The sequence below is a fragment of the Homo sapiens genome, chromosome 12 (assembly GCF_000001405.40).
Source record: "Homo sapiens chromosome 12, GRCh38.p14 Primary Assembly".
In the NCBI taxonomy this organism is placed as follows: domain Eukaryota; kingdom Metazoa; phylum Chordata; class Mammalia; order Primates; family Hominidae; genus Homo; species Homo sapiens.
Window position 1 is genome coordinate 118,251,846 of NC_000012.12, and position 19,673 is coordinate 118,271,518.

Genomic DNA, 19,673 nt, shown 5'->3' on the forward strand with positions numbered 1-19,673 from the left:
GAGTCTCACTCTGTCCCCCAGGCTGGAGTGCAGTGGCACAATCTCAGCTCACTGCAAGCTCCACCTCCCGGGTTCATGCCATTCTCCTGCCTCAGCCTCCCCAGTAGCTGGGACTACAGGCGCCCGCCACCATGCCTGGCTAATTTTTTGTATTTTTAGTAGAGATGGGGTTTCACCATGTTAGCCAGGATGGTCTCGATCTCCTGACCTCGTGATCCACCCGCCTCGGCCTCCCAAGTGCTGGGACTACAGGCATGAGCCACTGCACCCGGCCTTGGCTGCTTTTTAAATGAGAAGAGTCAAATAGAGACTGACTCTTGCCAGGAGAGATTCTGAGAAGATGAATTAGATTTAAAATAATAGAAGAAAAGAAAGCAAAGATGACAGAAGAATACATCTGTAAGCAAAACAAACAGGTCACAAATGAATATATACAGATGTTTCCATTTTTAAAAAGTTCAAAACTAAGCAAAACCAATTTACATTTTTAGGAGTACAGATTAAGTGGGTTATAACTATAAAGAAAAGTAAGAAAATAATCACCATAAAAATCAGAATGGTGGATACTCTTAAGGGGACGGAGAGGGTTCTGACTGAGGGAGACATAAAGAGGGGCTTTTGGGATGCTGGCAGTATTGTATTTCTTGATCTGGGTGGTGTTTTTACACAGAGATTTACCTTTTAATTCTTTCTGAAGTTCTATATTAAAATAGATATGTATATTGTATATACTTCTTTATGTATACTTATAATAAAAACGCTTTGTTAACAAGAGGACCTGAGACTAAAGAAGACAGAACTTTGGGCCTTAAATGATATTCTGACTACACACTAACAAGGGAGTGTTAACTAAGAAATTAGCACCCTTTTTTCTTTTCTTTTTTTTTTTTTTGAGACAGAGTCTCACTCTGTCCCCCAGGCTGGAGTGCAGTGGCACAATCTTGGCTCACTGCAAGCTCTGCCTCCCGAGTTCACGCCATTCTCCTGCCTCAGCCTCCCGAGTAGCTAAGTAGCTAAGTACAGGCGTCCACCACCATGTCCGGCTAAGTTTTTCTATTTTTCAGTAGAGACGGGGTTTCTCCGTGTTAGCCAGGATAGTCTCGAACTCTTGACCTCGTGATCCGCCTGCCTCAGCCTCCTAAAGTGCTGGGATTACAGGCGTGAGCCACTGCGCCCAGCCGAAATTAGCACCCTTTTCAGCCAGAAAAATCTTTTATTGTATTTAATGACAAAATATACTTCAGTGGGAGCCAAGTTATTGATGGTAGTGAGGGAAGCAGAAGTAATGGTAGGGCTGAGCATAGACGCAGTGGTTGAGAAACAGTTTAGAGAAAATCCAGGCTGAAGATTTGGCTAGAAGCAAAAGGACAAAGTAAAGATGCAATTCATAAAATAATCTCATTTGGAAGGACAACTAAAGATAAGCCCTATCCAGATGGCAGAACATAAAGGACCACTTAAAATGGAAGAGTCAGTAATGTTTGATTACAAAGAAATTATTTGATTACAAGTTTGGAGAAGTAGGTAATAATTAGTACTTAATTTATTATTTGCTTTAATGGACTATTATGCTTAAGGAAGTATTTGTTAAATTAAATAACTATATTTTGGCCTGGCACGGTGGCTCACGCCTGTAATCCCAGCACTTTGGGGAGGCCGAGACGGGTAGATCACCTGAAGTCAGGAGTTTAAGACCAGCCTGGCCAACACAGTAAAACCCCATCTCTACAAAAATACAAAAATTAGCCTGGCATGATGGCAGGTGTCTGTAATCCCAGCTACTCAGGAGGCTGAGGCGGGAGAATTGCTTGAACCCGGGAGGTGGAGGTTGTAGTGAGCCGAGATTGTGCCACTGCACTCCAGCCTGGGCGACAGAGCAAGACTGTCTTAAAACAAACAAACAAACAAACAAAAAAAAAAAAACAGGGCCCGGTGCAGTGGCTCACGCCTGTAATCCCACCACTTTGGGAGGCCGAGGTGGTCAGATCACGAGGTCAGTTCAAGACCAGCCTGGCCAACATGGTGAAACCCGGTCTCTACTAAAAATACAAAAATTAGCTGAGCGTGGTGGCACATGCCTGTAATCCCAGCTATGTGGAAGGCTGACGCAGGAGAATTGCTTGAACTGGGATCCAGGAGGCGGAGGTTGCAGTGAGCCAAGATCGTGCCACTGTACTCCAGCCTGGGCTACAGAGCGAGGCTCTGTCTCAAAAAACAAACAAAAGAACAAACAAACTGTATTTTATGTAATGAATTTCAGGTGAATAAGCTGTGTTAAAATTTTGGCTATTTGTTTTTCTCATCAGGAGATAGTCACATTCTTGGAACTAAAACTGATTCTAGGGGTACAGCCTTGTACCCCTTAAACGAAAATACTGACTTGACATGATTGCCACTAAAAATCACTGTCAGTCCCTTTCTCTGAATAGTTGTCTGTTCATCTGTTTATCTGTCTATCCACCATCCATCCATCCATCCATCCATCCATCCACCCATCCATTATTTATCAAATTCCTACTACTGTCAGGCATATACTAGTTCTTGAGTCTGTAACGATGAACAAGATAGACATAAACCCTGTCCTCATGACACTTGTTATTTAGGGAAAAAGACATATATAAAGCAAAAAATCGTATACGTAATTGTTTTATTACAACTGTGATAAATGCAACAAAATATAAGAACAAGATGTTATGAAATCATAAAGTATTGATTTAGGGGTGGAGTCTTGAACAGTAAAGGGTATCTTGCAAAAGTAATACTTAAGGTAAAACTTGTAGGATGAACGGACAGGCATGGGGATGTAATGTGCAGAGTTTTCTAGGTGGGGTAATAGCACATATAAGGCTCTGAGGCAGGAAAGAGCTTAGCATACAGTGGAAATGCACAAAGCTCAACTTCAAGCTCTTAACTTTTTTTTTTTATTTTTTGAGACGGAGTCTCACTCTGTTGCCCAGGCCAGAGTGCAGTGGCACAATCTTGGCTCACTGCAAGCTCCACCTCCCTGGTTCATGCCATTCTCCTGCCTCAGCCTCCCGAGCAGCTGGGACTACAGGTGCCTGCCACCACGCCTGGCTAATTTTTTTTTTTGTATTTTTAGTAGAGACGGGGTTTCACCGTGTTAGCCAGGATGGTCTCGATCTCCTGACCTCGTGATCTGCCCGCCTCAGCCTCCCAGAGTGCTGGGATTACAGGCGTGAGCCACTGTGCCCGGCTGAAGCTCTTAACTTTCTTATACTACTTTAATAAGTGAGTCAATTGATTATAAATACCACTGAATTGAATAAAGCCTAGGATTCTGGAACTGGCTTTTCAGCAATGACTATTTGCCTCTACGGTAGATATCATTTAATTTATAGAAAAATCACTGAAACCAAGCTTATTTTACGAGCAACAGCTATGTGTAGAGAACATGTAGAGTTCAAACTTTATTTTATTTTAGTTTTTTGTAGAGACAGGGTCTTGCTATGTTGCCTAGGCTGGTCTTTCCTCCCACCTTGGCCTTGCAAAGTGCTAGGATTACAGGCGTGAGTCACTGTGCCAGGCCTAGAGTCCAACCTTTCTTAATCTGATCTATCTAAAAGACTCTTTTAAGTACTTACAAAATAAACTGCTCCAAAACTTCCATGTCCAATTTCATGCAAACCAATAAAAAGTTCCTCAGGATCATCTTTGTAGAATAGATCGGCAATCTCTGGGTCCTTCAGCACCCCTTTACGCATGATGGCCAGTAGAGCAGGCTCTGCTTTTTGATATCAGTTAGCTTTATTTCTCATTGACAATTTTTTTTGGGGGGTAAATCTTCAGTACCTGTAGAAAAATAAGGTTTGCCATTAAATTATTTCTAACACATTTTACTTGGTGGCAATACAAATACATACAAATATTAAAAGCCTCTTGGTCTCACAACTCAATAACAAAAGGACAAAAAAACCCAAATAAAGAATGGACATATGGCCGGGCGCGGTGGCTCATGCCTGTAATCCCGGCACTTTGGGAGGCTGAGGCGGGCGGATCACCTGAGGTCGGGAGTTCGAGACCAGCCTTACCAACATGGAGAAACCCTGTCTCTACTAAAAATACAAAAAATTAGCCAGGCGTGGTGGCACATGCCTGTAATCCCAGCTACTAGGGAGGCTGAGGCAGGAGAATCGCTTGAACCCGGGAGGCTGAGGTTGCGGTGAGCCGAGATTGAGCCATTGCACTCCAGCCTGGGCAATGAGAGGGAAACTCTGTCTCAAAAAAAAAAAAAAGAACAGACATATGATTTGAATACACATTTCTCCAAAAAGATATACAAATGACCATTAACATATGAGAAGATCCTCAAACATCATTAGTTATTAGAGAAACGAAAATTAAAACCACAGTGAGATACCATTGCATACTCACTAGGATAGTGATAGTCAAAAAGTAAGATAAGTGTTTGTGAAAATGCTGAGAAATTAGAACCCTCCAACACTGCTGGTAGCTGTGCCATTTTAGAAAACAGCCCTGCAGTTCATAACAAACTTAAATACCGAGTTACCATTTGACCCAGAGTTTCCACTTCTAAGTACACACATACCCCCAAGAGAAATGAAAACATGTGTTCACACAAAAACTTGTGCACAAATGTTCATAGCACCATTATTCATAATAACCAGAAGATGGAAAAACCCAAATATCCTTTAACTGATAAAGAATAAACAAAATGTGGTATATCCATATAATGGAATATTATTCAGCAGTAAAAAGGAATGAAGTATTGGCTGCAACATGAATGAACCTTGTAAAAATTATGCCAAATGAAAGATACCAGTCACAAAAGACCATATATTGTATGATTCCATATATACACACACACATATACATGTAATTTCCAGAATAGGCAAATCTATAAAGACAGAAAGTAGATTATTGGTTAGAGATGGGGGTTTGGAGGGTGATAGCTAAAAGATACAGGCTTTCTTTTCAGGGTGATGAAAATGTCCTAAAATTGACTGTGGTGATGACTGCATAACTGTGACTATACCAAAAATCATTCAGTTACACATTTTAAGTGAGCAAAGGGTATAGAATGTAAATTATATTGTAGAGATATTACAAAAATTCATTTTGGTGTAATTAATGTTGAAATAATAACGGTTGGTATTTATTAATCGATACTATGCGCCAGGCAGCACTAAAACCTTATATATATTATCTCCTTTAATCCCTACAATAGCTTCATAATATAATGACTTTACTGTCTTAATTTTATAGAACCAACTAAGACTTTGATGGGCTAAACTACTTCCACATGGTCAGAAAGCCAGTATTTGTCAGGACCGCAATTAAAACTCAGATCTAACAGCAAAGCCCATGCTCTTGATTGACATGTGGTATATTCATATAGAAATACAGGCAATTAAACAATTCTTTACTGACTACTAGAAGAAATTACTATCACATGGAGGCTAGGTTAAATGCCCATGTAAAGAGGCAAGTTATTCTGCTGCTACATAAAACATTCTGAAATCAAAGTTTCTATTAATAAAAGGACATCATTTTGACATGCTCATATATTGATCTGCCATTAGTTACATAAATTTATTTGATGTAGATTCTTTTTTATTTTTTGAAAAATATAGAAATGTTATCAATCATCTATATTTTTCATTTTAAATAACCGCTGCCCTCATACCCAGATAATCATTTATTTATGCCAACGTTTACACTGATCACAGGATAGTTGGTGTTTCTTCTTTGACCAACTAGATAACCAAGATAGAAATTTGGTTATTGGCCAATAAAACTATTTTTCAAAACATGGGCCAGTGGGTCTCATGCTAGGAGAAGAAAAAAAAGAAACTAATTAATTAAGTAAAACTGATAGTGCTAAGAGGTATTTTTTTCTTGAGACATAGCCATAGGTGACAACATACATTACTTCATAGTCTAGTTAGTTCACTAGTATACACAGGTCATCAACCTAAGGATCCATCCACTTACCCAACTCATTCTTTCATTCAACAAATATTGTTGAATGCTCACTATTTGCCATACCCTGTACTGAGTTTTGGAGGTAGAATGGGATGTAGTCCCTATCCTTAAAGGGCTTAGGAGTCAAATGGACTTATAGACATTAAATTATAAAGACACAAATGATAAAGTGGTTTTAACTGATTGGATCATGAGGGGAAAATAAATATTTTTTAATATAAGGATATTATAGGATGACTCAGCCTGTTTTTGACTTAGATGTGAAAAAGCATGCCTTTTTAGGGAAAATAAAATTAGTTCATTCAATATGAATTGTATGGGAGAGTTGGAAGGAGAAAACATGAAGCTGGTGTTGAGCCAAGGAAAATTGCAAAAGACCCTTTAAACCATATTAAGAAGTTTAGACTTTATCCTGAGGGAAAGGGGAACCACTGAAGGTTTATATGGGAAAAAGGATCCCTCCGCCAACAATGCACCTATAATCCTAGGCAGTCATCCTGCCAATCCATGGATGCCAATAATCAAGTATAAAGTTACTACATCAATACTACTGGGAAAGTAACTTAAATCCAGCTATTTGTCAATCAGGTAAATGAAAGCACAAAATGAGAGTTCAAAAACTGGCCGGGCGCAGTGGCTTACACCTGTAATCCCAGTACTTTGGGAGGCCAAGGCAGGCAGATCACAAGGTCAAGAGATCAAGACCATTCTGGCCAACATGGTAAAACCCCATCTCTACTAAAAAAATACAAAAATTAGCTAGGTGTGGTGGTGCTCCTGTAGTCCCAGCTACTAGGGAGGCTGAGGCAGGAGAATTGCTTGAATCTGGGAGGCGGAGGTTGCAGTGAGCCGAGATCGTGCCACTGCATTCAAGCCTGGTGATGACAGAGCAAGACTCTGTCATAAAAAAAAAAAAAGCTCAAAAAGCATTTTGATTTTATTGCTTATGTCTGAGAACAACAAAAAAAGAATCAATGGATTAAATCAAAGATATACCTTTTTGGAGACTATACGTAAAAGGGAAATTATGAGACTATCTTTAAGAAAATCAAAAAGACCTATGAACTAAACTTATGATAATTAAAATATTTTCAATCACCAAAACACATTATAAACTTTAGAATATTTTGGCTTCCATGTGAATAAAGCTAAGTGCTATGGATTTGGGGGGAAAACAAGGATTATAGACTAAAATCATTTTATGAAGAAATAAATATTTAAATGTAAAAATGAGACCATAAAAACTTCTAGAATAAATTACAAGTGAATATTTAATTACTTAGCAAGATACCAGAGGCAAAGCCATAAACTAAAAATCAATAACTGTAACTATATATAATTAATAACTTCTTTATCTTAAACATGTAATGAAGGGACTTCTGCTTCTAGCCAAGATGGAGTAACAGGGGCTGGATTTATTATCTGCCACCGGGAACAATTAAAACACTGGACAAGGCCAGCCACGGTGACTCATGTCTGTAATCCTAGCACTTTGGAAGGCCGAGGTGGGCAGGTGGCTTGAGCCCAGGAGTTTGAGACCAGCCTGGGCAACAGGCTGTATCGCTACAAAAGATACAAAAACTTAGCTGTGTATGGTGGTGTACGCCTGTAGTCCCAGCTACTCAGGAGGCTGAGGTGGAAAGACCACCAGAGCCCGGAGATCAAGGATGCAGTGAGTCAAAATCATGCCACTGCACTCCAGCCCAGGCAGCAGAGTAAGACCCTATCTCAAAAAACAAACAAACAAAAAAAGCACTGGATAGAACATATAAATGATGGTATTTGAAGACAATGGATATCAGGCAAAGAAAGACAATGATCCCTGACAGAAGATAGGCAAATGATGTAAGCCATTAAATGTTTGAGCTTAATGCCCTGGGAGAATTTCTAGGCCATGCTGCAGAGAGGGGAAATCCAGTTAGAGCCTGGTGGACTCCCTGAGTTGAGGAGACAAAGATGACAGTCCAGGTTGACCAAGGTGAGTAGAGTTGGCAGGGCAGAGTGTCAAATAGAAGAGAGCAGCAGAGAAACAAGATATGGAGATTTGCAAAGGGTTCCCCTCAAGTCTTCAGCTGAGCACTGATTAGTGCATGCATATGAGAAAACTACCTTAGACCAGGGGAAAAAAACAATCTGAAAGGAATACAAACTATAGTACCTATAGCTCAAAAAGGGCTGTGAATAGTACTCATTCCCCCTAGCCAGGATAAGAAATCTCATAATTCACAGGGCATTCTGGAGGCTACTCAGAAGAGTCTTGCCTTCATAGTAGGGACCCTAGACTAAATGCTGGTCTGTGATGCCTAACAATTTTTATTTTATCTATTTTTTATTTGTGAGACAGGGTCTTGCTCTGTCACCCAGGCTGGAGTGCAAGGGTACAATCATGGCTCATTGCAGCCTCAACCTCCGGGACTCAAGTGATCCTCCCGGCTCTGCCTCCCAAAGTGCTGGGATTACAGGCATGACCAACTGTGCCTGCCTCTAACAAATTTTAAAAGCAAGACCTAAAAGGATGAAATTATTTCCAAGTAACTTAACTGTGTTCCAGAACAAAGTCCAAGAATACTTGAAGGAATATAAAAATATCCAGTATCTAAAAAGGTAAAATTCACAATATCTAACACTCCATAAAAAATTACCAGGCATGCAGAAAAGCAGGCAAATATAATTCATAATGAGGAGAAAAATAATTGAAACCAAACCATAATTGATATAGATGATACATGTTAAAATTAGTGGTCAAGGACATTAAAACATTTAATACAGTTGTATTCCATATATTGAAAAGGGTGGAGAAAATTTCGAACATGTAAAGCAGAGACAGACAAAATATAAACAGATTCAAAGTAAACCTTTATTTTATGCATATATGTATGTCATTATTTTGAGATGGAGTCTCGTTCTGTTGCCCAGGCTAGAGTGCAGTGGTGCAATCTCAGCTCACTGCAACCTCTGCCTCCCAGGTTCAAGCACTTCTCCTGCCTCAGCCTCCCAAGCAGGTGGAATTACAGGCATGCGCCACCACATCCAGCTAATTTTTGTATTTTTAGTAGAGACAGGGTTTCACCATGTTGGCCAGGCTGGTCTCAAACTCTTGACCACAAGTGATCCACCCACCTTGGCCTCCCAAACTCCTGGGATTACAAGTGTGAGCCACCACACCTGGCCCTCAAATCAGACCTTTAGAGATGAAAGCTACAATGTCTGAGATTTAAAAATCCTCTGCATGGGTTGCATAGCAGAGGAGACTTTGCCGAAAAAGGGGTTACTGAACTTGAAGACACAACAACAGGAACTATCCAAAATAAAACAGAAAAAAGACTAACAAAACAAAAACCAAACCCACGACCCAGAGCATCAGTGAGCTGTGGAACATCTTCACGTGGCCTACTGTATGTCTAAGTGGAGTCCCTGAAGGGGAGGAAAGATATTAGGACAGAAAAAATTATTTGAGGAAGTAATAGTGGAGAAAATTATGAATTTGATGAAAAGTATAAACCCACAGATCCAAGAAGGTCCATGAACCTCAAGCACAAGAAATACGAAGAAAATTATACCAAGGCACATCATAATAAATTGCTCAAAATTTGTGATAAAGAGAAAATCATAAAAGTATCCAGAGAAAAAAAGCATGTTAAATACAGAATCAGGAAGGAGGCAAGGATGTTTACTCGCAACACTTACATTCAACATTGTGCTGGGGCTGGGTGTGATGTCTCATGTCTGTAATCCTAATGCTTTGGGAGGCCAAGGTGAGAGGATGACTTGAGACCAGGAGTTTGAGACCAGTCTGGCAAACATAGCAAGATCCTCTCTCTTTACAACACCAAACCAAACCAAACAAAAACATTGTGCCAGATGCTGTACAGGTGCAGTAAATAAGAAAAAAAGAAACAAAAAGCATCAAGACTGAAAAGGAAGAAGTAAGACTTTCTGTTGTCAAACAACATAATCATTGTCAAAAAATTCAGTGGGATCTACAAAAGCTACTAGAACTTATTAGTTTATTAAAAAGTACAGAAGATCAACACATAAAATGATTACACTTCTTTTTTTTTTGAGACACAGTCTTACTCTGCCCTCTGTCACCTGGGCTGGAGTGCAGTGGCACGATCTTGGCTCACTGGAACCTCTGCCTCCCGGGTTCCAGCAATTCTCGTGCCTCAGTCACCCAAGTAGCTAGGATTACAGGCATGCACCACTATGTCTGACTAATTTTTGTATTTTCAGTAGAGACGGGGTTTTGTCACATTGGCCAGGCTGGTCTCAAATTCCTGGCTTCAAGTGATCCACACACCTCGGCCTCCCAAAGTGCCGGGATGACAGGTGTGAGCCACTGTGCCTGGCCTGAAATGATTATGTCTCTATGTATAAATAAATGAAAATCAAGGCCAGGCACGGTGGCTCATGTCTGTAATCCTAGCACTTTGGGTGGCCGAGGCAGGTGGATCACAAGGTCAGGAGTTCAAGACCAGCCTGGCCAAGATGATGAAACCCCATCTCTATTAAAAGTACAAATAATTAGCCGGGCGTGGTGGTGGGTACCTGTAGTCCCAGCTACTCGGGAGGCTGAGGCAGAGAACTGCTTGAACCTGGGAGGTGGAGGTTGCAGTGAGCTGAGATCGCACTACTACACTCTAGCCGGGGCGACAGGGCGAGACTCCATCTCAAAGAGAAAGAAAAAGAAAATCAAATTTAAAAATATCATGGTAGCATAAAAAATGTGAAATATGGCCGGGTGCGGTGGCTCACGCCTATAATCCCAGTACTTTGGGAGGCTGAGGTGGGTGGATCACTTGAGGTGAGGCGTTCAAGACCAGCCTGGCCAACATGGTGAAACCCTGTCTCTACTAAAAATACAAAAATTAGCCAGGTGTGGTGTCACACACCTGTAATCCCAGCTACTTGGGAGGCTGAGGCAGGAGAATCGCTTGAAACCGGGAGGCAGAGGTTGTAGTGAGCTGAGATCGTGTCACTGCACTCCAGCCTGGGTGACAGAGCAAGACTCCGTCTCAAAAAAAAAAAAAAAAAGCGAAATACTTAGGGATCAATGCGACAAAGGATATATAAGACCTGTACACTGAAAATGACAAAATAATAATGACATAAAGACATAATGAAGGGATATACGGTGTTTATAAATCAGAAGACTCAACATTTTTTAAACTCTGAGAAGTTTAATCTAAAATTCATATGAGAATTCAAAGGACCCAGAATAACCAAAGCAACTTTGAAAAAGGAGGACAAAGTTGGAGAGCTAGCATAAAATAATTTCAAACTTTATTATAAATCTACAGTTATCAAGACCATGCAATACTGGCACAGAGATAGACAAATTAATCAGTGCAGTGGAATAGGAAGCCCAGAAGTAGACCCACATATTTATGGACAACTGAGATTTGGTAGAAGTACAAAGGCAATCCAATGAAGAAATAATTGTCTTCAATGAATGGTACTGGAACACTTGCATCCAAATATGCAAGAAAACAGATATTTGGTCCATACTAACAACCTGTGTAAAAACTGACTCCAAATAGGTTATAGAACTAAATGTAAATCTACAATAATAAAACTTCTAGACGAAGGTACAGGAGAAAATATTTGTGACCCCAGGTTAGTTAAAAATTTCTTAGTTAATAACCCAAAGCACAATCCATCAAAGGAAAAATTCATAAATTAGACTTCGTCAGGATTAAAAATGTCTGCTTTTTGAAAGACACTTGAGAAAATCAAAAGACAAGCAAGATATTGGGAGAAAATCTTTGCAAATTATGTCTCATAATGGGACCCCTGGATCCAGAAAACATAAAGAATTGTCAAAACTTAATAATAAGAAAATAAGAAAACCCAATTTTTTTAATGGACAAAAGATTTGAACACAAGCACTCTACCAAGTGAGATGGATGAATGGCAAAAGAAAGATGCATACTATCACTACTCATTAGGGAGATGCAAATGAAAACCCATGAGAGGCCGGGCACGGTGGCTCACACCTGTAATCCCAGCACTTTGGGAGGCGGAGGTGGGTGGATCACCTGAGGTCAGGAGTTCAAGACCAGCCTGGCCAACATGGTGAAACCTCATCTCTACTAATAATACATAAATTAGCCATGTGTTGTGGTGAGCGCCTGTAATCCCAGCTACTCGGGAGGCTGAGGAAGGAGAAGTGCTTGAACCCAGGAGGTGGAAGTTGCAGTGAGCCAAGATTGTGCCATTGCACTCCAGCCTGGGCAACAAGAGCGAAACTCTGTCTCAAAACTCAGTCTTTTTAATGTTAGCCATTAGCATATGGAGTGACTGTATCTTTCATACACTGCTGGTGGGAATGTAAAATGGTAAAACACTTTGGAAAACATTGGGCAGTTTCTTAAAAAGTTAAACATACACCTATCATATGATGTAGCCATTATACTCAAGTATTTACCCAAGAAAAATGAAAGCTTATGTCAATACAAAGCCATGTATACAAATGTTCACAGTAGCTTTAATAGCCAAAATTGGAAACAACCCAAATGTATATCAACAAATGAATGGACAATCTGTGATAAATACAATGGACTGTAACTCAGCAATAAAATAAACTACAGATATACACTACAATATGAATGAATCTCAAAATATGCTGTGTAAAAGAAGTCAGACAAAAAATAGCACATACTTTATGATTTCATTTATATGGAATTCTAGAAAATGCAAACTAATTTAAAGAGATAGAAATCATATCAGTGGTTACCTGGGGGAAGGGGGTGGTGATGGCAGGTAAAAAGGAGTAGGTAGGAGGGGCTAAAAAGGGGCCTGATGAAGCTTTTTGGGAGTGATAGTGGATATGTTTATTTCCACTATGATGGTGGTTTCACAGATATATACCTGTTAAAACAAATTATGCTCTTTAAATATGTACACATTATTGTTGTAGAAAGATGTACCAAATTGAAATAAGTCTGGGTGTGGTAGCTCATGCTTGTAATCCCAGCTCTTTGGGAGGCAGAAGCAGGCAGATCATTTGAGGTCAGGAGTTCGAGACCAGCCTTGCCAACATGGTGAAACCCTGTCTCTACTAAAAACACAAAAATCAGCTGGGTGTGGTGGTGCATGCCTGTAATCCCAGCTAGTTGGGAGACTAAAGTGAGAGAATTCTTTTAATCTCGGAGGCAGAGGTTGCAGTGAGCAGACATTGTGCCACTTCACTCTGGCCTGGGCAACAGAGCGAGACTCTGTCTCAAAAGAAAAAAATACATAAATTAAATGAAGTAGAGAAAAATTTTGCAAAATATTTGCCAGTTAAAAGCTATTCTGGGCCGGGCATGGTGGCTCACATCTGAAATCCCAGCACTTTGGGAGGCCGAGGAGGGCAGATCACGAGGTCAGGAGTTCAAGACCAGCCTGGCCAACATGGTGAAACCCCGTCTCTACTAAAAATACAAAAACTAGCCGGGCATGGTGGCGCTTGCCTGTAATCCTAGCTACTCAGGACGCTGAGGCAGGAGAACTGCTTGAACCCAGGAGGTGGAGGTTGTAGTGAGCTGAGATCATGCCACTCCACTCCAGCCTGGGTGACAGAGTGAAACACTGTCTCAGGAAGAAAAAAAAAAAAAAAAAAAAGCTATTCTGAATATCAGAGAGGTGAACACACACACACATACACTTACCTACAAACTCAAAAGAGACAGGTAGGAAAACAAAACAAAAAAAAGAGTAGTGTCCATTTAAAATATGAAACATGTAACTTCACTAATGATCAAGGAAGTAAAAACAGAAATAATATAACACCTCATTTCACCCACCAAATTGGCAAATAAGAGGAAAAAATATACTTTTTTTGGGGTAAGGGTATAAGAAAATAGTTTCATACATTGCTTGAAGAATAGGATGGGTATGCTCTTTGACCTAGTAATACACTTTTGGGAATTCACACAAGGCAGTTTCTTGTTTGTTTTGTTTTAGCAAAAGAGGCAAGGCATAATTAGGGAACGTACAGAAGGAATACGACAGTGCATCTGGGAAACGTGACTTCTTTGATCTGTAAGTTTGGGTTTCTTTGTAGCTTGTGTTTTATCTGAAGTTAGGTGTTGAAATTTTGGGTAATTTTTTATTTCCTTCTTTTTGTTTCTGTGTATTTTCTAAAATCATATTTTGCAAAGTCTATTACTTCTGTAATTAGAAGAAAAGTGATACGAAACCTTTTAGGTAATTTCAAATCTAACTATAAACTACCAACAAAAAAATGGCAATATATATATTTCCAGAAAATAATTTGACAATAGGAATCAAGAAAGTTTAAGTAAGCTCATTTCTTTTAACCAAATAATTCTCTATATTGTAAACTATAACTGAGAAGAAAAAAAATTTTAGGAAATAAATAGAAACTCAAAGATTTTTATTTTTATTTTATTTTTTTCAGACAGAGTTTCGCTCTTGTTGCCGAAGCTGGAGTGCAATGCACGATCTCGGCTCACCGCAACCTCTGCCTCCTGGGTTCAACCAATTCTCCTGCCTCAGCCTCCCCAGTAGCTGGGACTACAGACATGCGCCACCACGCCCGGCTAATTTTTTTTTTTTTTGCATTTTGAGTAGAGACGTGGTTTCTCCATTTTGATCAGGCTGGTCTCGAACTCCTGACCTCAGGTGATCCACCTGCCTCAGCCTCCCAAAGTGCTGGGATTACAGGCATGAGCCACCGCACCCGGCCAAAGATTTTTATAAAAGAATATTTTATCCCAATTTTATTAATATTTTTACTTTCCCTTTTATTTTTCTTTCAAAGATAAAAATTCATCCAAAAACCCAGAAAATATTATTTTTTTCCATTTCTTAGGAGAAAGCTAAGTTGTATGGACAATACCTTTTTGTGTGTGGCACAAAATATTCCATATTGCTCAGATTCATTTTAGCAGCAAACTTCTCTTTTCTCTTTTATAACTTCAGTCCTTTGTATTTATGATGCAACCTATAGAAAAAGAAGAACAAAATACATAATTATCAGCCAAATTAAAGAATCAATAATTGCTCATGTGGTAGTTTTACATATTTACAAATGTAATATTACAAAGTTAAAATTTTATCTTCATCTGTTTGTGGATGGCAAAGTTAAAAGGTAAGATGCTCAAAACAAAGATGCAAGCTACTCTTTCACAGGCAATATCTGGGAAACAAATGTGTCGTTAGATTTAAGAATCTATACTGAAGCTTCCACTGGTTTGTTTGTGTCCAGGTAACTTAATGGAGATTACCAGTAGACAGCACTAATCTGACAGCACGCGGTAATGCTACTGATTCTCTGTTGTTAAGGCTTCTATTTTGAATTGCTTTTCCAATAGACATGATGATTTGCATTGATTACTCTACCTTTCCTTTCCTAGGCTCTCCTATAACCAATCTTCCACATTTTCAGGGTGATGATTATTATTTATTTATTTTTTTTGAGACGGAGTCTTGCTCTGTTGCCCAGGCTGGAGTGCAGTGGCATGATCTCGGCTCACTGCAACCTCTACCTCCCAGGTTCAAGCAATTCTCCTGCCTCAGCCTCCCAAGTACTGGGATTATAGGCATCTGCCACCAAGCCTGGCTAATGTTTGTATTTTCAGTACAGACGGGGTTTCACCATGTTGGCCAGGCTGGTCTCGACCTCCTGACCTCAAGTGATCCACCCACCTTGGCCTCCCAAAGTGCTGGGATTACAGGCGTGAGCCACCGCGCCCGGCTGGAGTGATGATTATTTTTAAATTATCTATTAAAGAAGTACATGCCCAATGTAGAAAACTTGGGAAATACACATTATTAAGAAAAAAATCCGGCCGGACGCAGTGGCTCACGCCTGTAATCCCGGCACTTTGGGAGGCCAAGGCAGGCGGATCACTAGGTCAGGAGTTCAAGACCAGCCTGACCAACATGGTGAAACCCCGTCTCTACTGAAAATAAACAAACTAGCTGAGCCTGGTGGCATGTGCCTGTAATCCCAGCTACTCAGGAGGCTGAGGCAGGAGAATCGCTTGAACCCAGGAGGCAGATGTTGCAGTGAGCCGAGATCGCACCACTGCACTCCAGCCTGGGTGACAGAGTGAGACTCCATCTCAAAAAAAAAAAAAAAAAAGGAAAGAAAAAAATCCATAATCCTATCCAGGCAAAACTCCATTAACAATCTGGCATACTTTTCTCCATGGACGTATTTATTTCTGCCTGCATTTTTAAAATGCAGCTGAGATCACATTATATGTGTAATTCCATAGTTCACCTCTTTTATCTAACTCTATGACTATTTTGCCATATCACCAAATACTGTTCACAAAGGTCATTTTAATGACTACTTATTGTCTGTCTTATGGAAGAGCTGCAATTCATTCACAACCATTTCTCCACAATCAAAAACCAAGGCTGTATTCAACCTTTTGTTGAACTATTGAAAATTATTGTGTCTGGAAGATCTTGGTGCCTATTACTTATCTACATTTTGGAGGCTTTCTTGAGAATGGCTTTCTAGAAGTAGAATTATTGGGTCAAAGAATATAACAATTTAAAACCTACATATATTGGAATAATTTTTAGATGCTTGACTAGCATTGTAGATGAAGGCCTTACAGGAAAAAACTAGAAAAAAACTATGGACTTCCATTTTCACATTTTTCTTGCTGAGAATATCCCACTCTTGTCTCATGCCTATAGTTATAAACTGAACGTTTTCATTATTTCTGTTACTCCTTCCGATTCTGTCTGTGGCTGTGGAATGCTTCAGATTAACTGGTAGCTAAAACTTGCCTGAATTCAGCATCACATTTTACCTAACCACTAACCAATCAATAACTGCAATGTTTGCATGTCTACTCTGCTAATGTAGTCTGACTATAGCTCCAATAAACTAAAATATTCCTTATGACATCATATGAACACTAGTTGCTAAATTTCTAAGAAAGTAGTTTCAGCTAGGCACAGTGGCTCACACCTGTAATCCCAGCACTTTGAGAGGCCAAGGCGGGTGGATCACCTGAGGTCAGGAGTTCAAGACCAGCCTAACCAACATGGAGAAACCCTGTCTCTACTAAAAATACAAAATTAGCCGGGTGTGGTGGCGCATTCCTGTAATCCCAGCTACTCGGGCAGCTGAGGCAGGAGAATCGCTTGAACCTGGGAGGCGGAAGATGGGGTGAGCCGAGATCATGCCATTGCACTCCGGCCTGGCAACAAGAGCAAAACTCTGTCTCAGAAGAAAGAAAAGAAAAGAAAACAAAAGAAAAGAAAAAAGAAAAGAAAGAGAGTTTCAAATAAGGCATCTTACAAATCAGGAAACATTCATTCCTAGAAAATAGTTTTCTTTCTCTTTCTTTCTTTCTTCTCTTTCTTCTCTCTCTTTCTTTCTTTCTTTTTTTATTTTTTGAGACAGAGTCTGGCTCTGTTGCCCAGGCTGGAGTACAGTGGCGAGATTTCAGCTCACTGCAACCTCCACCTCCCAGGTTCAAACGATTCTCATGCCTCAGCCTCCTGAGTAGCTGGGAGGACAGGCTCTTGCCACCATGCTGGGCTAATTATCCTCTCTCTAAATAGTTACATAATTAATTTTCTTTCTCTATCTCTCTCTTCTTTTTTTTTTTTTTTTTTTTTTTGAGACTCAGGCTGGAGTGCAGTGATGCAGTATCGGCTTACTGCAACCTCTGCCTTCTGGGTTCAAGCGATTCTCCTGCCTCAGCCTTCCAAGTAGCTGGGATTACAGGCGTGCACCACCACGCCTGGCTAATTTTGTATTTTTAGTAGAGATGGGGTTTCGTTATATTGGCCAGGCTGGTCTCAAACTCCTGACTTGCGATGATGCACCTGCCTCGGCCTCCCAAAGTGCTGAGATTACAGGCGTGAGCCACTGCGCCCAGCCCACTTTTACATAATTTTCTTAAAATGCATGCATATTCTCTTCATCTTTGGTTGCCAAGCTCTATATATGTTCTAAAATTATCTCTCTAAGACTTCTAGGAATTAAGCCTTCTCAGTTTTATCTTTTCTTTGTTTGCTTTTCTGCTACAATATTGCATTGCTATTGAAGCTGAAGACAGTATTCCTGAAGTTCATCCATTGAACCTAAAGGATATTTTCAATTTTCTTCCATTTTACTACCCCCACTTCCTTCTTCATAAATGTCTCTTGGATCCCATGAAACTGTCTTCTGTTTTTCCAAATTATTCTGATTATACTTCCTCTTCTCTCTGATGCCTAAATGAATGTGTTCCTCTAAGGATTTCCCCAAGTCCTCTGTGTGACTGCAAGCTGCTATCTTAATTTCTGCCCATTTAATGATTTTAAGTAATACTGTGTCACTAGACAGTACTGACCATTATTCCAAGCCCCAGTCCTGTATTTTCAAATATCTATTCGGCTTCTCCCCTAAATGGCTCACATACACCTCCCATTAACTTTGTTCTTTTTCCCTGTCCCTTAACATTCAATTAATCCCCAATTTCTGCTTCCTGTTTTTCCATTTCTCTGGCATTCATATGCTCTCTCCTTTTCTTTTCCTCTTACAGCCTCTATCTTTTCTGGAATTAGAAAAACACTATTACCATAATCATCTTTCTAAAGCATGGTTCAGATAATATCACAGCTCTGCTCAAAATCTTTCAAAATCTCACTACTTCCTATGGGATAAAGAATAACAATAATAATAATAATAACTTTACCTAACGAACATTCAAAGCTGGCTTCAAACCAGTAGTCTAACCTAAATTCTTAAACTCTATAATCAGGAAAAAATAAATTCCATTCAGTTACATTTGTATATATACTTTGTATTTCACTTCTCACTTGGTCTTTGTCTAAGTTGTGTCCTCTGCTTATAAGGCCCAAATCTCAGCTATTCTTACAGTCCAGCTAAATGTCACTTTTTTTTTTTTTTTTTTTTTTGAGACAAAGTCTTGCTCTGTCTCCCACGCTGGAGCGCAGTGGCGCCGATCTCGGTTCACTGCAAGCTCCGCCTCCCGGGTTCACGCCATTCTCCTGTCTCAGCCTCCCCAGTAGCTGGGACTACAGGCGCCCGCCACCACGCCCAGCTAATTTTTTTTTGTATTTTTAGTAGAGATGGGGTTTCACCATGTTAGCCAGGATGATCTCGATCTTCTGACCTCGTGATCCGCCCGCCTCAGCCTCCCAAAGTGCTGGGATTACAGGTGTGAGCCACCACGCCCGGCTAAATGTCACTTCTATAAAACCTACTATTTTCTCCCTTTGCATCAGTTTTCAACACACATAGTTAGTATTCTAAAACTGGATGGCAAGTGCTTCTTCAGAGAAGGGTAATTGTCTAAGTCCACATTTGGATTAATCATTGTAACCCCTGATATTTTAAAAAATAAAAACAGTGTTATTGAGATATAATTCACCTATCATACACTCTGCCCATTTAAAGTGTACAATTCAATGGTTTTTAGTATATTTAGTATTTAGCATTTTAGATATGTACAACCGTTACCAACCACAGTTATTTTTAGAACATTTTCATCACCATACATACACACACAAAACCATACCCTTTAGCTATTACCCCAGCCTCGCCCCACCCCATTCCCTCCATTCCTAAGAAATTTACTAACATACTTTCCATCTTTATAGATTTCCTTGTTCTGGGAATTTCATATAAACGGAATCATACAATATGTGGTCTTTCATGACTGGCATTTTTCACTCAGCATGTTTTCAAATCCAATGCATAGCATGAATCAGTATTTCTTTTT

General features: G+C 39.9%; 1 protein-coding gene across 8 annotated transcripts in view; it reads right to left on the reverse strand.

Annotated features, from left to right (window-relative positions):
* The window catches only part of TAOK3 (TAO kinase 3), a 223,107-nt gene that overhangs the window by 102,045 nt on the left and 101,389 nt on the right, over positions 1–19,673 (reverse strand). For 6 of the 8 annotated variants that reach the window (NM_016281.4, NM_001346487.2, NM_001346493.2 and 3 more), the window contains exons 2-3: positions 14,810–14,914; positions 3,603–3,810 (exon numbers count right to left, since the gene is read on the reverse strand). In NM_016281.4, the coding sequence (NP_057365.3) occupies positions 3,603–3,722 (120 nt within the window). In that variant the 5' untranslated portion in view covers positions 3,723–3,810; positions 14,810–14,914. Of the gene's footprint in view, positions 1–3,602; positions 3,811–9,651; positions 9,829–14,809; positions 14,915–19,673 lie in introns of all 8 variants that reach the window. The other 2 variants (NM_001346488.2, NM_001346491.2) reach the window with 1 other exon arrangement.